A 22,035-nucleotide genomic window follows, 5' to 3' on the forward strand; every position below is an offset into this window, starting at 1 on the left:
TGCAGTGAGCCAAGATCGTAGCACTGCACTCCAGCCTGGGTGACAGAGTGAGACTCCATCTCAAAAAAAAAAAAAAAAAAAGCCAGTCACCGTGGTGCATACATGTAGTCCCAGCTGCTCAGGAGGCTGAGGCCAGAGAATCAGTTTAACCCAGAAGTTCGAGCTGCAGTGAGCTATGATCATGCCACTGCACTCCAGCCTCGGTGACAGAGCAAAACCCTGTCTCAAAAAGTAAAGTAAAATCCCTTCTTCTGCCTATCAGCTCCCCTAGCTGTTGCCTCTCATGGTCAAGGATGCTTTAAAAGGTATCTATCCTCACTACCATGATTTTTCTCACCACCACCCCTGCCTCCTTAACTAAGGCAGATCTTCCTTCCGCTACAGAAATTCCACCAAAATCATGCTGCCTCAGTCATTAGTGCTGACCCAAGGCATTGCTGAGCCCAAAGGGCTTTTCAACCCCTACTCAGCTTTAGCCTTGGCAACATTTTGCAAAGTGGAGCACTCCCTTCATTGAAACACGCTTCCACTGACAACATATTTTCTTGATTTCCCTCCCGCTGTTCTGAATGTTTCTGCACAAATTCCTTTTCTAGTTTTCCTTTCTCCTCTCCCCAATATTATATGGTAGTCTTATACAGGAATCTGTCCATCTCATCTACTTCTAAGGATTCATTTACTATTTATATGCCAGCAGGTTTACACCTATCTATATAACATCTTCACTTAAAGGGCTTACAGCCATCTCAATCTAAGCATATTAAAATCTGAACCCACCATCTCCACCTCTGCCTGAAAAATTGGCACTGTTCCCATACGTGGCACTATCAATAAATGGCACCACGTGTCCTTACTCACTCCTGGCAGAACCTCAAGGACATTCTGAGCCCACTCTGTCTTTCTGCTCCACATCAGTCTCTCATGGTGTCTTTCTAAATTACATTTCATGTCTCTTGAATTCTTCCACTTTGCTTTAATTCTACCATCACCATCCTTTTGTCTCACCTGGACTGCTCCAAAGAACTTTTGAATGGTTTCCTTGCCTCCACTTTTACCATTCTTTAGTTTATTCTCTACAAAACTACCAGAGTGATCTTTAACAAACATGAATAAGATCACTCTTGCTTAAAACTCTCCAGTGGCTTCTCCTTGACTTTGGCATAACTCAAAACCTTTTAACATGATTTACAGGACCATCCAAAATCTGACCCCTGCCTTCATCTATAGCTTCATCTCCTATATGCTTTCCCTTCATTTTATCCAGTCATCTTGGACTTCTTTAGGTCCTTTAAATGTATCATGTTGTCTTTACTTAAGGCCTTCAGATATGCATTTCCTTCAGTCTGGAACCTTCCTCATCAACTTTCTTTACCCAGCCAACTCCTTGTCAACCTTCAGCTAGTTCCATAAGTTTCCATAGTAGTTTTGTCTTCCTCTTCCTGTCTCCCATGATCACCGATGTTTCTCCAGCAGGCTTTAAACTTCATGAGGTCAGGGATCAGAGCTGTCTGGTTGCCTCCTCTATCCATATTGTGTAGCACAATGCCTTGCACACAATAAGTACTCAATAAGTATTTGGTTGCACAATAAAAATGACATTATCTGGCTCAAACTTCCCATTTTGAGAAAGAGGAAACTGGGATCCAAAGAAAGGAAGCAACTTATTCAAAACAACAGAGCCCAGGCTAAGATTAATACAGGGCTGGAGCCTCCTAATTTCCAGATCTTTTTTTTTTTTTTCCAGCACATCATGTGCCTATCTATAATATGGTAACCAGAAGGAAGCAGACTGGATTCCCTGTGTCTTGTAAAAGCCGGAGCAAGTTCTTATTTGTAAACACAGCTGACATAGTTGTTTTCTTTGTTTGTTTTAAGTAAAAGGACTGGAAGTACAACCCAAAAATAAACTTTGTGTTTCCAAACCAAGAAGCTTCTACAACTTTTATCCCCTGCAGCCTCCTTTCTGTCCATTGTTCATCTTCCTTCCCTTCATTAACCACAGGCATCAGCTGATATTCAATGTTGAATGGTCCCTGCATTCTGTGTTCTTTATCACTCCCCTGCCCAGGCAGCATGTCACATGCAGCAGCAGATTAGGAAGTGCTGTCTTTAAATAGTATCACTCAAGAGAACATTACAAGATCCTGTGTAGCGCTGGGGTGGAGATTGATGTAATAATTTTTAGAATAAAAATAACTCACATTTTTGAAACTATTAGTTTGTGACTGGCACTAATTTCAGTGGTTTGTATGCATTTTCTTTTTTAACTTTATGAGTAATTATTTCTATTACTTCTATTTTACAGATGAGTAAACTGAGGGACAAAGAGGTTAGTTAAGGCCCAAGCCATTCTGTTTTGTTTGAGACAGAGTCTCCCTCTGTCATCCAGGCTGGAGTGCAGTGGCACGATCTCGGCTCACTGCAACCTCCGCCTTCTGGATTCAAGCGATTCTCCTGCCTCAGCCTCCCAAGTAGCTGGGATTACAGGCACCTGCCACCACACCCAGCTAATTTGTGTATTTTCAGTAGAGACAGGGTTTCACCATGTTGGCCAGGCTGGTCTCGAACCCCTGACCTTAGATGATCCACCCGCCTCAGCCTTCCAAAGTGCTGGGATTACAGGCGTGAGCCACTGCGCCCGGCCCACCCAAGCCATTCTGTTAGCTAGTGAAAGAGTCAAAGTTCTAATCTAGCCAGTCTAGAGCCTGTGATCCTAACTGTCTGACATCGGACAATGAAGAATGTGTTGACCTGGCAGGAAATACCAAAAAGTACAACTGAGGGAGATCCTAAACTTGCTTTATACAGATATCCTGGATCCTACCCCTGATTCATTCATTAATTCATTAATCCATTTACTCATTCATTTAATTCTTTCAACATGTATTTATTACATTTTTGCATTATTTATATCAATTTTGGGGAATACAGAGAAAGTTAATGGCTTCTACCCTTTGACATCTCACAGTCCAGTGGGGAGACGTAAGAAAACAGACATTTATCCTACTGTGTGCTGAATGATAAGACAGAGGAAAATCAGTGAGCTTTGGGAACATGGAAGAGATTATAAACACATAATAAAGAGAGTTTAAAAGGGCACTACAGTGATTTGCTTTGGACCTGCATTCCACACCTGTCACTCTATCTGTCTGACCTCTGCTCTCTCTATGCTCCTGGCTTCTAGCCCTTCTCTTACTTTGGTACCATCCTTAGCCTCTCAACTCCTGGCTTCAGATTCGATGTCTTTGCTTGTCTTTTTCCTCTGGAAGTTGGTTTGGAATGGATTCTGGCTTGGCTAGAGGGTTTCTGTATCGTAAACAGTCTAAGGCCAGCTCCAAAGTCTAGGCCAGAATATCTAGGCCCCACTACCAAAATGGCTCTCGCTTAGAAGAATTGGAGATCCAAAAGCAGGGAACTTGAAAGAGCATGGAGGGATAGATGGATGGATAGATTCCTTGCCTCTTAGCTTCGATTATTCACCTGCCTAAACCCAGAGCAGTTGGCCTAGTGACTAACCAACATCCCTTGCAGCTCAATCATTATTCATTATGTTAATATTATCACACATTTTGATTCTTTGCTGTCGATTTGGTTGCTGATCTGCTGGCCAAAGGATCATCATGGGAAGGAATTACTATTGAAGCAGGCAGTGCAAATTTCAAAAGTGTTCAGACCCTGCGGCCTTTCATGATATTTCACTTTCTTGAGTTGCAGTCTCCCATTGGCCTGCTCCTTCCGAAGCAGATTTTGTCCCTTGTAGCCATAAGTGAAGCATATCCTGGCTAAATGTTTCTGTGGACTGAAGGTAGCTATTGAATTGGGCAGTTAAGAGAATATTGCAGATTCTTGTCGGTAAATGACACAAAAGATGATGGACTCTAAGCTAGCTATGGAAGAAATTAGAGCCAGACAGGGCACATGAATTGAAAGAAAATGAAGTGATGGAGATTCTGGAAGTTGCTTTAAAGTGGAGAAGGACATTTGCTAAGAATGATAGAGTACATGAGAGAATTGGACTGAAGGGCAATGGAATTCAGAAAGTGGCTGTTGGTATATTGTAATATTCATAAGTATAGCAGTCTCAAGGGGGGCTGTGGGAGTATTGAAGTGAAATGGAGATGAAGGTCCCGGAGGTGGAAACATTTTGAAACCGTCTAACAGTGGAACATTGGATGGGTCTTATGAGCAGATGCTGAAGTTGTCCAGGACAATGATAAACCTCCAGGTAGATAGGGAGGCTTGTGATCTAGGAGCCTTAGCCTCATTTAACATAGGGACAGAAACAAGAGGCTGACAGTGACAGCAGTGAGATGCAGGGGAGACATGTGTCATTGTATCTCCATCATTAGGTGGCATAAACCTCAGAGGAACAGGCTTTTTTGCCTGCAACTGCAGGAATACTTGTCTGGAAATGATAATGAGGAGGCCTGAGAATAATGACTGTTATCACCTTCCCCAACCCACCTGAAACATACACACATGGCAACACTTACCTTTCAATAAAGTTTCTGGGAAAATAAAGTTTATTTCAGTTGATAGGTACATAGTAATAATAACAATATCTGCACTTTTAAGCATTTAGTCCATCCAATAGGCCTATAAAATAGGTATTAAAACTTCCCTTTTTTTGAGACAGCATCTTACTGTGTCGCCCAGGCTGGAGAGCAGTGGCACAATCGAGGTTCACTTCAGCCTCAACCTCCCAGACTCAAGGGATCCTCCTATCTCAGTCAGCCTTCTGAGTAGCTGGGCCTACAAACACGTACCATCACACCTGGCTAATTTTTATTTTATGTTTTTGTTGAGATAGGGTTTCCCTATCTTGCCCAGGCTGGTTTCAAACTCGTTTCAAGCGATCCTCCCACCTCAGCCTCCCAAAGTGCTGGGATTACAGGTGTGAATCACTGCATCCAGCCTAAAATTTCCATTTTTAAAATGAGGAAATTGAGACTCAGGATGTTCATGGCAGAACTAGGGTTTGGATTATGATCTAAATATCACTGAAGTCTTTGTTTCACAGCAAATGTTTAAAAGTATAGGTTCCAAAGCCATATGTTTTCTTGTCTTTGAACTGGGAATACAAACTAGGTAACGTATTTAATAATATAGTGCTAGGCCATAGTAAGTACTCAACAAATATCAGTTGCCATTATAATTATTGTTATTGAGTTACTATTATTTAATTACAGCTCACGGCAGTACTATATACCTTCTCAGCCTCACATATCAGCAAGATCATATTTTTTTCCAGTCAACAATAGATTATTAGATGAGTGACAGCTTGCAGTTTTGGAACCTATCATCTGTCTGATGCTTTTAGCAAGAAGCTTCCTATTTTTACTTTGAGAAATCCATAAGAAGTAAGTCAAACTCATGTAGATGGGATGAATACTTGCTCCCTATTCATGTTTGGATCCAACTCTTTTGCAGCCAGGCCATATATTAGGACCCCATCTCAGAGTATCACAACAGAGGTTGATGGCCTTACCTAGTATAAAACCACTCCCCTGTGCCGTATTTGCCCATGACTGAATCGGAATGAAACTTTCCCTTGCTAGGAAAACACTGTGGGTATATTCTCTGTCGGAGTGTGCTGAGCAAAACCCTAATAGAATGTACCGTGAGGAATAAGGAGTAACTTGTCAACTGAGAGTTAATCAGAAAACCACATGTGCACAAAACCAACAGATTGCAGAGCTGGCAAAGACTTCAGAGATAATTTACTCCAACCCCCTCATTCTACTGATAAAGAAAGTGAGTCCCAGGGAGGGGAAGGGTCTTGCTCAGGGTCATACAGCTGGCAGTAATTTTGTTTGTTTCAATAATTAATATGAACAGTCATTCTATACATCAGTGAATCCACCTTCCTGCCTTTGTAAGCACAATATAATGACCATAATTGAATTTGTCTTTGACAGTGAAGAAAGCAGGCTTTTAGGGCTTTACAGGGCCCCAAAGTCATCAGAAGAAAATAAATTGTCATGAACTAAAGCTGGAGATCTGCCTGTTGACTGTGAGCTTCTTAAGGAATGGGCCTGGTCTTATTCATGAGCTAAAGCAAGTTTCAAATCCTGGCTTAGCCCTTTACTAGCTTAAGCAAGTACTTAACCTCTCTGAGCCTTTATTTCCTCATTGTAAATTTAAATAATAAGACCTTCCTCAGAGACTGTTAGTGAGGATCAAGGGAGGCAAGATCTGTATACCAGTACCTTGCGTAAAATAGGCATTCAATAAACTTGCACTTTCACCTTACATTTAACAAATGTCCTGCTAAAAGCTAGGGATACTTCAAAGAAAGGAAAGCCAACGACTCCACTTTCATGGAGCTTAGATTCAGGAGGGAGGAGAGCAGAGGTGAGGACCACAGAGAAGCAGGCAGACAATAAACAATTAAAAATATAATTTCAGATGATGATGTGCTATCAAGGGTTATGAGGAAAAGAAAATGAGATGATGTCATAGATGTTTAGGAGAGTGCACTGCTTCTGCTAAGAGTGGCCAAGGGCAGTCTTTTCAATATTATGTTTGAAGAGAACCTAAATCATATGGAAAAAGCCAGACAGTCAAAGATCCTGGAGAAGACCATTCCTGAGAGATTCAGAAAGGCCTTAGGCAGGAGGAAGGTTGGCATGTTCAGCCAGCAGCAAGATGGCCAGTGTGTTCCCAGCATGGCCAGCCCAGTAAGCAGGGCATGAGATGAGACTGGAGACATCTGCATAAACTCCATCCTGAAGTTCTAGTCCACCCTATGACATTTGAGTTTTATTCAAAAAGCGATGGAACACTGTTGCAAGGACGTGTTAAAAAATAAATATTGGTCTTTGTCCCTAGTTCCTGGCACACAGCTTCTAAAATTCTTGGAATCCCTGCTAAAAGCTAGGGATACTTCAAAGAAAGGAAAGCCAAGGACTTCACTTTTATGGAGCTTAGATTAAGCTCCATGTGTATGGTAATGAGATGACTGATGGCTGAGAACCCCTCCGTAGCATCAGGATGGGGGCTGGTCACCAGAAAGACCAAGGCATGATTAGAGGGTTGAACTTTCAGCCCCTCCCCTGACCTTCCAGAATGAGAAAGGGGCTAGAGATTGAGTCAATCACCGATGGCCAATGATTTACTCAATTATACCTAAGTAATGAAACCTTCATAAAAACCCCTAAATGATGGGGTTTAGACAGCTTCTGGATTGGTGAACACAGGGAGGTATTGAGAGGATGGCATGCCTGGAGGAGGCATGGAAGCTCACTGCACCACTGCACCTCCCTCCCCTCATACCTTGCTCTATGTATCTCTTCCATTTGGCTGTTCCTGAATTTTATCCTTTATAATAAACTGGTAATAGTAAGTCAACCGTTGTCTTGAACTCCATAAGCCGATTCTAGCAAATTATCAAGCCTTGGGGGGTGGAGTTTGTGGAAACCTCCAATTTGCGGTCAGTTGGTCAGAAATACAGGAGACCCAGGACTTGTGATTGGCATCTGAAGTGTGGGCAGTCTTGCTGGACTGAGCCCTGAAGCTGTGGGGTCTGACACTAACTAACTGGGGTCAGTGTCAGAATTGAATCAAATTTAATTATAAGTCATGCAATTGGTGGCAGGAGAGTTGGAGAATTGGTGAGTGTGAGGAAAAAACCCATACATTTGGTGTCAGGAGTGTTGTAGGTAAAAACAGCCCAGAGAGGTAAAATCATTCATTGATTCATTTAACAAATCCTTATAGATTAACTATTCTGGCCAGGCACAGTTCTTGGTGTGGTGCATGAATCCAATACACACCCCTGGCCACATGGAGCTTGCATGCTAAAGGGATAATAAATATCTAAAGTTTATGTAGCATTTACTATATGCTGGCATTGTTGTGTTTTACCTCAAATAACTCACGTGCTTCTCATAGCAGTCCTATGAAAGGCATATTTTTATCCCCATTTTCTGATGAGGCAACAGGCATGAAGAAATTAAGTAATTATTCCGTGATTATACAGCTAGTAAATGTAAAAATCCAGTTTCAAATTCTGGCAGTCTGTTATAGTCAGTCTGTATTTTAATCACTGCCCTTTATTTTCTCTGCTTCTGAAAAATCACCTAGACTGGTCCTGACTGCTATAAGGGGAACCAAAGTGGAAGTCAAGAGACCAGTTAGGCAGTAGTGGTCAGAGAATGGGATACTGGAATTTTCAACAACACTGAGTAGATATTATTATTCCCACTTAATAAATGGGAAAACTGAGCTTTGATTCACACATCTGATAAGTAGCAGAGCCTGGATCCAACCCCAAGCCCATTTATCTCTAAAACCCAGTATCTTTCTGCTAATGCCTCCATTTCCTACAGAATTATAAAGCTTCCACTCCTCCCCTCCTTTATGACCAAGAGACCAATTTGAGGTATGTTTTAGAGTCAAAATTAGAGGACTGGGCGTCTAAAAATTTTTTTTTCTCTTGGTAGGCATTTTTATAATTGAAAATAAAATAAAATATAAATATACTGACATGCAGTTCTGTTTTCTCATTTTCTTTTGCAAACTTTAAATTGAGATATAGTACACATAAGGTGAAATACAAAGATATTAATGTACAGCTTGATGAATTTTGATGAAGTATACACCCATATAGTCAACACTCTAAAGATATGTAAATGTGTGCACATAGTGTACTTAAAATTATAAATGAGGTGCCAGTTTTCATATCATGAGTAATGATAAAGACCTCTCCCACTCTCTTTTTCTCTCATCCCTTCCTGCTTCTCAATTGATATTTTTGTCTCCAATTCATGGGGGTTACACAGAATACCAGGTGCAGGTCAAAAGATGACTGTGTCAAAAGGAAAAGAAAGCAAAATAAATAAGAGAACAACTAGCCATTTCTTAATGCGTGTTGAAGGAAAGTCACATTGATATATTTTCTGTTTTTCTATGGAGGGGTCACGTGCCTCAGCCCACACATTAGCATGTGAACTTGTTGTTCCAGTCAAATGAGTCAGAGTTCCTCAGGAAGGCAGATTCCTGTATTTTAGAGCTATGTGTCAGCATCTGTAAAAAAAAAAAAGGTACAGTGTCCTGTATTGATGCATCTCACTGATACACACGTGCTCGTCTCACTCCAGGTAATCACACCTGCTAATAAGCAGCAGAAGTAGGATTTGAACTCCAGCCTAGGGCACTCAAGAATCAGGCTGTTTTCATGACAGGGAGAATGGTACCACTGAGTCCGAATGTAGGGTTTGCAATGGCCTGGAGTCAGAAGTGGGCTTGAATTCTGGTTTTACTACATAATGGCTTTATGACCTTGGGAAAATTACTTATATTCTCTCTATTTTCAGTTCCTTTATTCACAAAGTGGTGATAGATGATCTGTGTCCTAATGTCCTTTTGAGGGTTAAAAAGATCATGTACTTAAAATAATCAGCACAGCACAGAGTACAAAGCTTAAACCAGTAAAATGGCAATGGCAGTGGTAGTCGGCCCCTAAGTCAACAGACACCACAGTGTTTTTTAACCATATACCCCCATCAGTTAAAATAAATTTTGAGTATGCATCCTCAGTACATGAAAACCTATTTATGAAAAAGCATGATGTGCTATACTGTGTTCATAGATTATTTACTCTATAAAACAAGTGAAATATAGCTGAACCAAAGTATTTCCAATGTGTTTACCTGTCATGATGGCTTCATGCTAATATTAGCAACATGTAAAAGTACACTATATGTCTATGGCCAGGTGTGTTTTTAATAATTTTAAAATGATTTTTGATGATTTTTAAATGATTTTGTATGTGCCTATGTATCGAAATCTAAGGCAATCTTCTTGATAATTTTGATTATTTTCCCAATCCTTGTCTTATTTGACTAGGTCTTCATTGTTTTTACCTTACAATATGAGGAGCTAGTACTGAGTAAATACATCACCATTTTCTTGTTTACTTGAATCTGAATGGTGAACTGGTGATAATTATCTCCATCACGTGCAAATCCATTGACTGAATCTTTTTTAGCTGCTTGTCCATTTTGTGAGGGTTAGTTTAAACTAGTTAATACCTATTAATCACTAACCTGGAACATGCAAACGACAACATGTAGCAATTCTGGAAGCTGAGGACATATAAGGGAGTGCCATAGGGCCATCCCTGGAGTTGGAGAGCTCCCACTCTCCTCACAAGAACCTCACACATCTTATGTGACTCATGACTGACTGATGTGTGGCCAAACTGATAAATTGTCTAGTAACAATCCATATATTAAATGCTGGTAAAGTGTAATTAATTTCTTAAGACCAAAAAAAGTCATATAAATGGCACTTCCAGTATTTTCTTCTGGAATCTTAATGAGAATTCCCTGGAGTTTATGGATGCCACTTAAGAAACACTGCCATCACTTTTTCCTTTGGCAACTCTGCAAACACTAACCAAGCACCTGTAAGTGCTAGGACTGTGCTAGACATTAGGCCTACAGTGATGTGATTTCTGCCTTCTGGGAGTTCATATATAGCTTGTTTCCACCACACTAAGTTCTGCTATATTCTCCCCTATAGATGGTGACTCTGGAATTGCCCAGCTTGCAGTGCCCTGTAGTACCTTGGGCTAGACTACTGACAGTCTTCCCCAAAAGGCTTAAGCCCATTATTCCCCTTCCTCAGGGTAGGGGAGAAGGTACTAGATCTTCTGCTCCCAAAATTGCCAACATCAGTAAGTCTACCACTCATGGAATCCACATCTTTTCCAAGGGTACTGAAGAACCCATGGCTTCCTTTAACCTCATTTCCCTGGTAACTCACTCCAACATGGCCTACAGCCCTTTGGTAGCTCCCAGGCCAGGTCATTACAGTGAGAATTGGGTGTTTCCCCTGGCCACATGCAGGCCTGGCTGTTGCCAGTGCTGCCACAAGAGAAGTGGTGAGCAGTGTGTGCTGATTAGTATCTCAGCCTCGACACACCAGGGAAGGGTCAAACCCATGAATGCAGTCTTTCATGGCCGTGGTACAGGGCCCCTATTTTTTCCTCCAGAAACCCTTCACTTGCTTTCAGAAGTGATGATCAAATGTGAACTTTCATGGTTTATTTATAGCTCTGCCTTATAGAGAGAAAGAAAAGAAGTGATTAAAATGCTATTTTACAAAATATTTTGTTTTTAAAAAGCTTTCATTGTGTGGGCAAAAGGAAAAAGAAAAGTCACTGTATTAATTGTGCTGTCTAGACTCTCAAACAAAGAGGGTAGCGTGCTGCAAATTAAGATTGTCCGGCTCCTGCCTGCTGACAAAAAGTATGAATTTGGAGGCCAACTTCAAATAAACCCTTTGGAACAGAAATATATTGTGGGGGTGACTATATTTAGCATGTGTCAGCATTTCCATACTAAATTCATATTGTTATGTTGTGGTAATTTCAGATTTCCTGCAGCCAAGTGGGATCATGAGATTTCAGTTTTATGTTAATTATTTGGAGAAATTGAAAAACTCAGCAGTGCTGTTTCTGATGACAGCACTGATTCTCAGGGTATTCTCCACGTTGTGTCAGGGACCCATAATGAGCCCTGCCTTTCAGGAAAGGGGAAGGTGAGCCCGAGTCATTTTGACTGTCTTTATAAGCATAACTTTAAATATATATATATATATATATATATATATATATATATATATATATATGGCATTACATGTTTTCCCTACAAATACAAAATTAATATATGCCACTGTAGAAAATTTAGAAAACACAATAAGCAACTTGACAAGAAAAAAAAATTGTTACCCATGCTATCCAACCTGTTAACATTTTAATATATATTGATCCGATCTTTATTATGCATATATAACTTGTTTTTATATGCATATCTTGTTTTTAACTTGTTTTTAACAAGTTATATGGAGCAAACAAAAAATTATGTAGCACAAACATGATTATTGAGATAGAATACAAAATTATAACTTTATTTTCTATTCTCATTATCCCTTTGCATTTGTGCAGTAGAGCTAGTTTTTCCCTGCTCTGGTTAAAAATCCTGGTGGTTCCATTACTTTTTTAGATAAATATAAAGTCACTTAGATAATATAACCTTTATGGTCCTTTAAGTTGTGAGATGTAGCCAAAATTCAGAAATTCAAATATCAAAGAATATGTAAAGGTAAAGGTAAGATGTTTTCCAGTTCTTCCAGCTGGAGTCTGCCAGAAACGAGACATAGCCCTAATCAGATTCTTCTTTCTTCCTCATTCACTTTCTCTCCAACATATTAGCTTTTTTCTTGTTCCTCTGAAATGGTTAGAAAGTATAAGGGAAGAAAAGTTAGTGGTGTAGGAAATTTCTTATCTGATCAGTACTGTCATAATGGGCTTCATGCTCTCTTAGCCTTATAGGTGTTTACAGCTAGCTCTGATTCTCATAAGGCACATCATAGATTTTTGGGGAGACCCCCTGCCTCTGAAAACCTCTCGCCTGAAATATTGTTGTCTTGGTTAACACCTGTCTATTCTCATAGATTGCTCACTACTCTTCTCTTAATTCCTCAGGAATCCTTTCCTTTTTTTTTTGTTGTTTGTTTGTTTTGGTCTCTTTTTTGTTTGGTTTTGTTTTGAGATAGAGTCTTGCTCTGTCTCCCAGGCTGGAGTGCTGGAGTGCAGTGGTGCAATCTCGATTCACTGCAACCTCTGCCTCCCAGGTTCAAGCAATTCTTGTGCCTCACCCTCCCCGTGGGACCACAGGCACATGCCACCATACTTGGCTAATTTTGTATTTTTAGTAGAGACGGGGTTTCACTATGTTGGCCAGGCTGGTCTTGAATTCCTGCCCTCAAGTGATCCACCCACCTTGGCCTCCCAAAGTGCCAGGATTAAAAGCATGAACCACTGCTCCCGGCCCAACCTCATGCTTCTTTATGGTGACTGCTCCACCTCGTTAGGTGGCCATGTTGGACAGGATCTGAGAACCCCTGGCAGCTCTCTCATACATGGGCCACTTGGGGTCTATGGGAAACCTTTGTCTTTTGGATCTGGACAGACTCTGGCAGTGCTGGTTGATCCCAGGGTAACCTCTACTTCACTTTTACACTGCAGCTGTCAGCCAGCCTGTCTCTTCCAGACAGGAGTCACATACAAGCCACCATGTGCCACAACCTCAGGGACATGCAGCAGATTCTCTGCTGGTCTGTGTCTTCCTGACTCCTGAAGGGAGAGGATCTCTTCATACTTCACCCTGGAAGGAGGCCTGATGTGCAGTAAACCAACAGCTCTTTCCTAAAAATCCATCTCTGTCTGACCTTCCACATCAATGAAAGGTTTAAGAGTTGATTAATGGGTCCTCAGGCACCCTTCTTGCACATTCTTCAGGGTGGTCTGTTTCCAGTTCACTTTGGTATCTTATATCTGTCATCTTTAGATCTCAGCCAAAACTTCCATTTTAACATTCCGTCACGTGTATTATCCTTAAGTTCATTCATTCCGTAGACATTCCCTGAGTGCATACGATATGCCAGATGCCGAGTTTGGCAGTGAAAATAATTATAACAATTCCTGCTTTAAGGCGCTCACAGTCTAGTTGGGGAGGCTGATCTGTTAACAAAAAAATATGGTGCCATGTCATAAACGCTATGATAGACGGAAGCAGAAGTTGCTGTTGGAGCACATAACTCAATATAGGTGGGAGGCAGGCAGCGGGGATGAGTCAGAAAAAAATCTCAGTAGAGCTGATACCTGAGCTAAGTTTAACATTTAAATCTGTACTTTCTGAGAAACAGCATAACCTCTTTTTAAACCATTGAAATCTCTCTTGCTGATGTTTGCTTCTCAATTTATTTTTAAAACAAGCAAAGGTAATGTGGAGAAAGGAGGGAAGAATTCCCTGATGTCTGCCGTTTATGTGCACATCTGTTGCAGTGGGAAGGAAAATAACATTTATGGAGTACCTTCTATAATAGAAGTTTCCTGGATCCCACCCATGAGGGCGATCCTGGAATGTTGTCTCAAGTGTGGGGCCAAAGCACAGCCAGGAGGAGCATTCCCTGAGGGCAGTTTGAAGATTCAGAGCTGGCAATAGAAGGCAAGGTCCTCCCTAAAGCACAGCAGAGCACAACTCAAGGAAGAGACGAAAAGGACAAAATAAGAATGAGTGGCACGGTTGATGATGGGGATTGCTGAGACCATCTCAACAATACCCCGGCTTGCTCTAAGGGAATCAGGACTTCGTCTTTGAAGGAAACTGTTCTGGGGTAAGCAGAGCTCTTAACATACCTCTGCTAAGTGGAATGGCAGCATGTTCACTAAGATGTGTTTGACCATTTGGCCCTCCACAAAATGACTCCAGACAGCCCTTTTAGTCTTCCTCTTTCTCCATGGTTTCTTTGTCAATAATTTTTCTTCATTAAAAAAAATCTCCTCCCTACTTAAGGCTGCCATTTCTTTCTGTTGTCATTGTGCTGGCTACTCTTAGCATCTCTGATCTCCCAATCAGCACATTCACATCCATTGAGAGCTGGGAAGCTAGATGTCTAGTTCAGAATGCACATGCTATCCTTGTGGAAGAGTCCATAGAGCAACCTAGCAGGAGTGGAAATTCGTGTAAGCTAGCAGATGAAAGAACCATCAGGTTACCTAACCCTTGAATAACTACTGAAAGAAGTTTATCCGCTTCTAGCGTAGTATTTATCACACTCTATTTTGATCACAGTAAATGTCTTTTCCACTCTATAGTGAGCTCTTTGATGAAAGGCCCATGCAATCTTCCTCTCTGTATTCCATGTAGATTGAGTGTTATGCTTGGCACGTGAAAGGGAGGCAATATGTTTTATGAATAGTCCAGGTGTCGAGACTTAGTAGTAAACAGACAAGTCCTTGCCCTGTGTAGCTTACATTCCGGTTAGGGCAAGGAGTGGAGAAGGCAGACAACGAACACATAAACCAGTAAATATACAAAGTGGCAGAAGGAAATTAGTGGCATGCAAATCAGTCAATCAGTCACAGTAAGGTGGCAAAGATGGTCAGGGGAAACACTTGGAAATGTTTTGAAGATACCCAGGGGCTCTCATATTCTGTATGGTATTCAGATTTTTTTTTTTTTTTTACATTTTTTCCTCCCTTACTAGTATGTGAGTTTCTCCAGGATAAAGAGTATGTCGTATGCAAATCTGTATCCCTAGCAGAGTGTGTGGTACATAGTAAGTGATTAATAAATGTGTAGAATAAGAAGTTGTACACATGTGATCCCAGAATGACTGCATCCTTAGCAATAGGAATTCAATAGCCGTTCCTAAGACTGAGCCTATGCTGTAGAGCTTTGTCGTGCTGTTGCTTGCAATCTTCCCTGGCCAGGTCTGTTGGACTCCAAAGTTTACTTTCTCATGGCCTTAACAGCCTTAGGAGACTGCTTAAAAAAACCTAACCCTTCTGCTCATATGGGAGCCAAAACAATCCATGGTTAATCTTGATGCTGCACCTACCATACCATGTCTACCCAGATGCTGTAACATGTCATCTGCCTGAGTGCCCCATTGTAAAGAAAAGAATGTCCTGAAGTCACATTCCAGAACTCAAGTCACTTAGACTCAGCCCGGAGGTCTCAGTATGTACTCACAACTTCAGAGATTGCTGGAAAAAGAGCTGAAGTTGAATTGGAGAGGTCTTAAATATTTTATCCTCAAGTACAGGTGCGAAGTGAGTTCCATTCCGTGATTGCTATCTTTAGGGAAGTAGACAATGTACTCAGCGGCTGGTTATGTTCCCTGCTTCTGCCCTGTGTCCAGATAGTGAGGAGGGGAAATAATTCTTCCCACTTACCCCTGGAGGCAGTCACAGAACTGCTTTGCCTTTTGGGTTGTTTATGCCCCAGAGGCCTCAATACACAAGTATTTATTAAGCCCAGGAGGTGTGGTCATAATTGAAACTTTAAATGTTCACTGTGTTTTATTCCTATTTTTGTGTTTTATTCTTATTACCAAAGAAAAGTAAGTTGAAAAAAAAGAGGACTAACCAAATATCTTAAAGGGAAGCAAATTCAAATTAGAATGTTTTGCCTGTGACAAGCCTCGCTTTGGATTTCGCTTTCCAACTCAGCTGTCTATGTTGTTTTCCATTTAATAGGAAGCAATGGCAAAAATGAGCAAAGTTGGGAAAGTTGTGTTCCCGAGACTACAGGATAAAAAGTAAGTGTGTATTTTTTATATGTACAGTGCTAAGGAAGTGAGCACATACACACACACATGCAACTATAGATCTGGAATAAACTCAGGTGGTCAACTAATCCAGTCCTTTAATTTGTGGTTAAGAAAACTAAGTTCCAGGGAGGTAATGTCACCTTCACTTACCTAAGGCTGCAGAACTATGTAGGGCCAGAGCTGGGGGTGAATGTAAGCTTCTGAACTCTCAGACCAATGTTCTTTTTCCCAGGTAATTGGCAGCAAATCTGCTCTTCTCTGTTCTAAAGTAGGGATCTCTTATATCTCCATCAAAGGACCCAGTAGAATCTGCTCATTCTTTTACTCTTTGTATCACTTGGCATCAAAGGCTAAAAAATGACATTGGTCAGTATTTTAATCCCAATTCAACAAAATATTAGTTTACTGAATTCCTGCTATATTCAAGGCATTATGCTGGGCTCCAGGCAGGTGTTACAGGGGAATAAAACACAATTTAATTTAGGCACATAAGATTATTTTAGAACAACGGGATAAGTTCCACAATTGAAGTATTGCCAGGTGACAAAGTTGCCCAAGGAAGAAAGAGATGGGAGCCTGTAGAGATGAGAGAATGCTTTTGGGAGGAGGTTATGTCCAAGCTAACTTTAAGCTCTTGTAAGAAATTGGTAGACAGGCCAAGGCAAGAAAGAACATTCATAGTAGAAGGAATAACATGTACAGTTATAAAAGTGGGAGCAGCATAGTACATTCAGGTTACTATAAACAACTCATAATCCAGAAACACAAAGTATGAGATGGGGAATGGCAGGAAGTGGGACTAGGGAAGGATAGAATTGGGTAGGGGGAGGTCAGCTCATAAATACCTTGGAGGCCATGCTGAAGACCTCCAACCTCATCCTATAGGCAGAACAGAGATGCTGAATTCTAAGCAGTGGTGAGATCTGGTCAGATGCAGATCAGAAAAATCCCTCTTAAAGGATCCAGTACAGGGGGCTCAGGGTAGAAATAGAGGGTCCAGATAAAAGGCTTTTTCAAGAATCCAGGCTAGAGATGTAAAAGACCTCTATTAATTTGCTGGTAGTGATTTTGAAGATGAAGGGGCTGTTGTGGAAGTGCTTTTATAATTTTAGGGAAGTATTCGAGGTTAAGACCTAAAAGCAAATTCCACTTAACATGATGAACAGGCAAATGTGCAGATCCCACTGAAGCAGGATCAGTATTTAACAGAATTGGAAATGTTCATGGAAAAGCAATCCACTTTCTTTTCATTTCCTTTAACTCCACATAGAGTCAGGCTGCTAACCCTCCGAATATAAACCCTTCTCTAAAGGCCAGGGTGGAAGGTACAGGCATTGCGTAGGGGAGCTCCATGCAGGAAGGTGGAGAGATCTGAGTTCCCACTGGCAGTAGGAGCTATGGGCTGCTGTCCCTGTTTCTGTTCCCTGGAGGCAGCTGGAGCATCCCTCTTTTTGTGAAATTAGAAAGATTGTCTTTCTCCATCTCTTCCCTGACCCTCCCAAGACTTTTCAGGGAAGTTTTTAAGTTTTTTCCGTAAACCCCACGTGTTCAGAGAGTCCTCCGCTGCTTGCTGGGAGCTGGCAGCTGGCAGCTGTTCTCTGCGAAGGAGGCGGCACACACGGTGCTTTAGCACCATCTGCAGGCAACCCAGAGATTTGCAAGGAGACAGGAGAAGCCAGTTTCCTTCTGAGCCAACCTCATCTCATTGCCTAATAGATCACACTGTTAACGATGTGGGACGACATTTACTTAGGCCTCTGCCACACAGAAGCAGGGACTGAGTTGAGGCACATTTTGAAGAGAGGGGATTCAGCTGATTTTAAAATTCACAGTCACGGAGAGTGTAATTTAGTGACTATAGTTTAATAATAAATGTTTAGGATGACCCCAAATTGCATTATTATGTTCAGTCCAAATTTATATGTGGCTCTGGAAGAGTCACTTAAATGTGCTTTGAGAAATTTGGTGCATTGAAAGACACTATCAACAGAGTAAAAAGGCAACTCACAGAATGGGAGAAAACATTTGCTTATCATACATCCAGTAAGGGATTGATATCCAGAATATATAAATGTATAAAGAACTCCTAAAACTCAACAACAACAAAAAAGCAAAAACAACCCAATTCAAAAGTGGGCAAAGGACTTGAATGAATATTTCCCCAAAGAAGATTTATAAATGACCAGTAAGCACGTGATAGGGTATTCAACAGCACTATTAGGAAAATCAAAACTACCGTGAGGTACCACCTCACACATTAGGATGCTACTATTTTAAAACAGAAAACAACAAATGTTGGCAAGGATGTGGAGAAATTGGAAGCTCTGTGCATAGTTGGTGAGAATGTAACATAGTATCGCTGCTGCAGAAAACACTATGGCCATTCTTCAAGAAATTAAGAATAGAATTAACATGTGATTCAGGAATTGTATTTCTGAGTATATACCCAAAAGAACTGAAAGTAGGGTATGGAAGAGATATTTCTACATTCATGTTCACAGCAACATTATTCATGATAGCGAAAATCATGAGAGCAACCTAAGTGTTCATTAGTAGATGAACATATAAATGAAGAATGATATGTGCATACAATGGAGTATTATTCAGCCTTAGAAAGAAGCAATTTCTGACATGCCACACATCAGTGAACCTTGAGGATATTATTCTAAGTGAAATAAGATAACCACAAAAAGACAAATACTGCATGATTCCACCTATGTAAAGAATAAGGCCAGTGCACAAAGTTGTGGCAAAGTTGTCAGTATTAACATTGTAAATCAAGTGTGTGTGAAGGGGTGCTCACCTTAGCTCCCTTCTAGATATTTTGAGATTCTAAAGTCAAGAAATCTATCTCATGTAGTGAAAGAATTCCTTACCGTTATATTGTCACAGAGCATCATTAGTAGGAGCAAATTGTTCCTAAAATAATTCTACAACTAATAAATTTGGATGCTCATAGAGTAGGTCTTAGTAGTACCTACATATAGCTATATTGATGATATTAAAATATTAATTATCTAAAATTTAGTAACTAGCATTTATATCACTTATTATGAGTCAGGTACTGTTCTAAATGCTTTTCATTTATTTCCACATTTAATCTACAACAGCTCTGCTGAAGTAGATCCCATAATTATCCCCATTTACAGATGGAGAAATTTAGGCAGAAATAGTTTAAGTAACATATCCAAAGTCACACAGCTAATGTTAGGCCACATTAAGATTCCAACCCAGGCTTTGGAGTTCGCCTTTTAACCCTGTGCTTGGCCCCGTCACAACTCCTACGTTACCAGAATGCTTACAGTCTAATAAATATTGGGTAGGGGACTCCTACTAACATAGCTATGTGTGACAAGTAGAAGTCCCTGTGTGTATCCAAGGTTACTCTTACAACCTCTCTCTGCCAATGCACAACTTTGCACCAAAATTTCATCATGAGGACTCCTTTTCAGAGCACCCCAGAATTGAGCAAGACATGCTAAACTGGCTTCTTCACCCCCTCACCCCATGTCAGCTTCCCAACCAAGAGGAGTAAGGACAAAGTTGCAAGGCTGCAAGTATAATTTGTCTCGGTTCCTATTATTCCTTTCAGGATTATGATGCCAGAGCAGCTTCAGCTGTTCTGCTGTCTGATTCATGGCCAATACCAGTTCTAACAGGTCTAACCCAAAGAGTCAGCCAGATAGGACAGGGAGAGCAACGGCCACTGTGAGATGTCTGGAAGGCGAGCACAGCTCTAGAAAAGGCATTAGCTACATTTCCATGGGGTTTTGCTCCTGGATAAAGCAGGTCACAAGGGAAACCTAGATGTGGAATCTGCAAAAGGGCAATTAAAATGTTCAGTCTTTGTCCTTGGTCAGGCTGTGATTTTAGGCCAGTCATCAAACCTGGGGCTAGTTATATAGGAAATACTTATTGAAGCTGGCAATGTGAAAGAGTCTCCATTAAGTCCGGCCTTTTTGTATATACAGTAGAAGCTTTGAAGTCAGACAGACATGAGTTTGAATTCCAGCTCTGCCAGTTTTTATCTATACTACTTTGTATATGCCTCTCATTTAGGAATTTTTTTTTTTTTTTTTTTGATGGAGTCTGGCTCTTTCACCCAGGCTGGAGCGAAGTGGTGCAACTCAACCACTTCACAGTGAACGGGGGACGGTTCACTGCAACCTCCGCCCCCCGGGTTCAAGCAATTCTCCTGCCTCAGCCTCCTGAGTAGCTGGGATTACAGGCGTCCACCACCATGTCTGGCTAATTTTTGTATTTTTAAGAGATGGGGTTTAAATGTTCTTATTTCTAAATTGGAGATAATAAAACTTCATCCAGGTCACATATAATAGGTCTGAAACATGCTAATTCATTGCCCAGGATGCTGTAAGCATTCAGAATCTAGGTGTCAGCATCACCACCACACATATATTTCCATTCTTCTAAATGTACAGGGAAGCCCTGTGGCAGTTTTGTCTTGAGATCATTCAACATATTTATATTTCTCCCACAGATACTATGATAAGAAATACCAAGTATTCCTGAAGCTGGTTGAACACCAGAAGGAGTATTTGGCGATCATGAATGATGACTGAACAGGGCTTGCAGGTGCTGATGCCAGAAGCTTCTGTGCCATTGCATTAAAGACTTGTCATTTGATCCATGTTCAAGACCCTTGAGGTATTGTTTCATCATTTCTGTATTGTCTTTCAATAAAGAAAACAAACATGTGCAACCAGAATTAGAGTCTTCATTTCAAAATACCGCTATTATTTAGTTTCAGTTTCCATACAGTCTCCATTATAGTAACAGAAGTTTCACATAGGGTCATAGGATCTCACATGAGACTAGACCTTGGGGGCTATTCAATCCAGGGAAGGCCTGTACTTTTTTTTTTTTTTTTTTGAGACGGAGTCTCGCTCTATCGCCCAGGCTGGAGTTCAGTGGAGCGATCTCGGCTCACTGCAAACCCCGCCTCCCAGGTTCACACCATTCTCCTGCCTCAGCCTCCTGAGTAGCTGGGACTACAGGCGCCCGCCACCGCGCCTGGCTAATTTTTTGTATTTTTAGTAGAGACAGGGTTTCACCATGTTAGCCAGGATGGTCTCGATCTCCTGACCTCGTGATCTTTCCGCCTCGGCCTCCCAAAGTGCTGAGATTACAGGCATGAGCCACTGCGCCCGGCCAGGCCTGTACTTTTTAATCAATTAAATGTCAGCTATTAAATGAAAAACTTACATTACTTTAGGTAGGACATCTAATGCATAGTCGATGTCTTTTATGGCATTTTCCCCTCCTGTGCAGGATCTAGTCTAGGGTCAGATACCACATTTATTTGCAGAATTGTAATTTCACAATCATCATATTAAAGACAGGTATAGGCAGGAATCATCGATGGATCCAGGAGGGAATTTTGAAGAATAACAGGATATATGCATAATCTTAAAATATCTCTTCAGAATTTGCTTATTAGTTACAAGAGGAAAAAGAACGTTAAGTATACAGGGAAGAAATAGGACAACATCTTGATTAGGTGATCCAAATCAACTTCAGATGGGCAAATGGACATTGTGTGCCTCCAGATATGAGAAAAGAAAGAGCATTTTAATGCAGAGCCTGAATCTAATCAGAAGGAAACATCAGACAAACGCAACATGGGAAGCATTTTATTTTTTAATGGACTATATTTTTCAAAAATATCTATGTCATACTGACAAAGAAAGGCTGTGGGAAGTTTCCAGATTAAAGGAAACTGAAGAAACCTGATGGCTAAAAGCTTTTGATGTAGACAAGCACTGGGAAAACTAGCTGTTTTAGTTGATACCACAGCAGACACACAAACGCACACAGACATACACATACATATACATACATAAATATGTCAACACCCACACATAATTTCAGACCCAAGAGTAACTGCTA

General features: G+C 40.9%; 1 protein-coding gene across 55 annotated transcripts in view, besides 2 other annotated features; it reads left to right on the forward strand.

The window, feature by feature from the left end:
* FGGY (FGGY carbohydrate kinase domain containing) overlaps positions 1-20,854 on the forward strand; it is a 466,353-nt gene extending 445,499 nt beyond the window's left edge. For 42 of the 55 annotated variants that reach the window (XM_011541731.2, XM_047424383.1, XM_011541730.2 and 39 more), the window contains 2 exons: positions 16,055-16,116; positions 20,627-20,854. In XM_011541731.2, coding sequence (XP_011540033.1) covers positions 16,055-16,116; positions 20,627-20,708 — 144 coding nt within the window. In that variant the 3' untranslated portion in view covers positions 20,709-20,854. The remainder of the gene's footprint in view (positions 1-16,054; positions 16,117-20,626) is intronic. The other 13 variants (NM_001350793.2, NM_001350797.2, NM_001350798.2 and 10 more) reach the window with 1 other exon arrangement.
* Positions 10,869-10,958: a silencer, noted in NCBI's record as "silent region_942". NCBI's record gives its function as "represses an Ori minimal core promoter by ATAC-STARR-seq in GM12878 lymphoblastoid cells {active_cell/tissue: GM12878}" and the evidence as "EXISTENCE:reporter gene assay evidence [ECO:0000049][PMID:35858748]".
* Positions 20,877-20,926: an enhancer, noted in NCBI's record as "active region_1111". NCBI's record gives its function as "activates an Ori minimal core promoter by ATAC-STARR-seq in GM12878 lymphoblastoid cells {active_cell/tissue: GM12878}" and the evidence as "EXISTENCE:reporter gene assay evidence [ECO:0000049][PMID:35858748]".

The sequence above is a fragment of the Homo sapiens genome, chromosome 1 (genome assembly GCF_000001405.40).
Source record: "Homo sapiens chromosome 1, GRCh38.p14 Primary Assembly".
NCBI classification, from domain to species: Eukaryota; Metazoa; Chordata; class Mammalia; order Primates; family Hominidae; genus Homo; species Homo sapiens.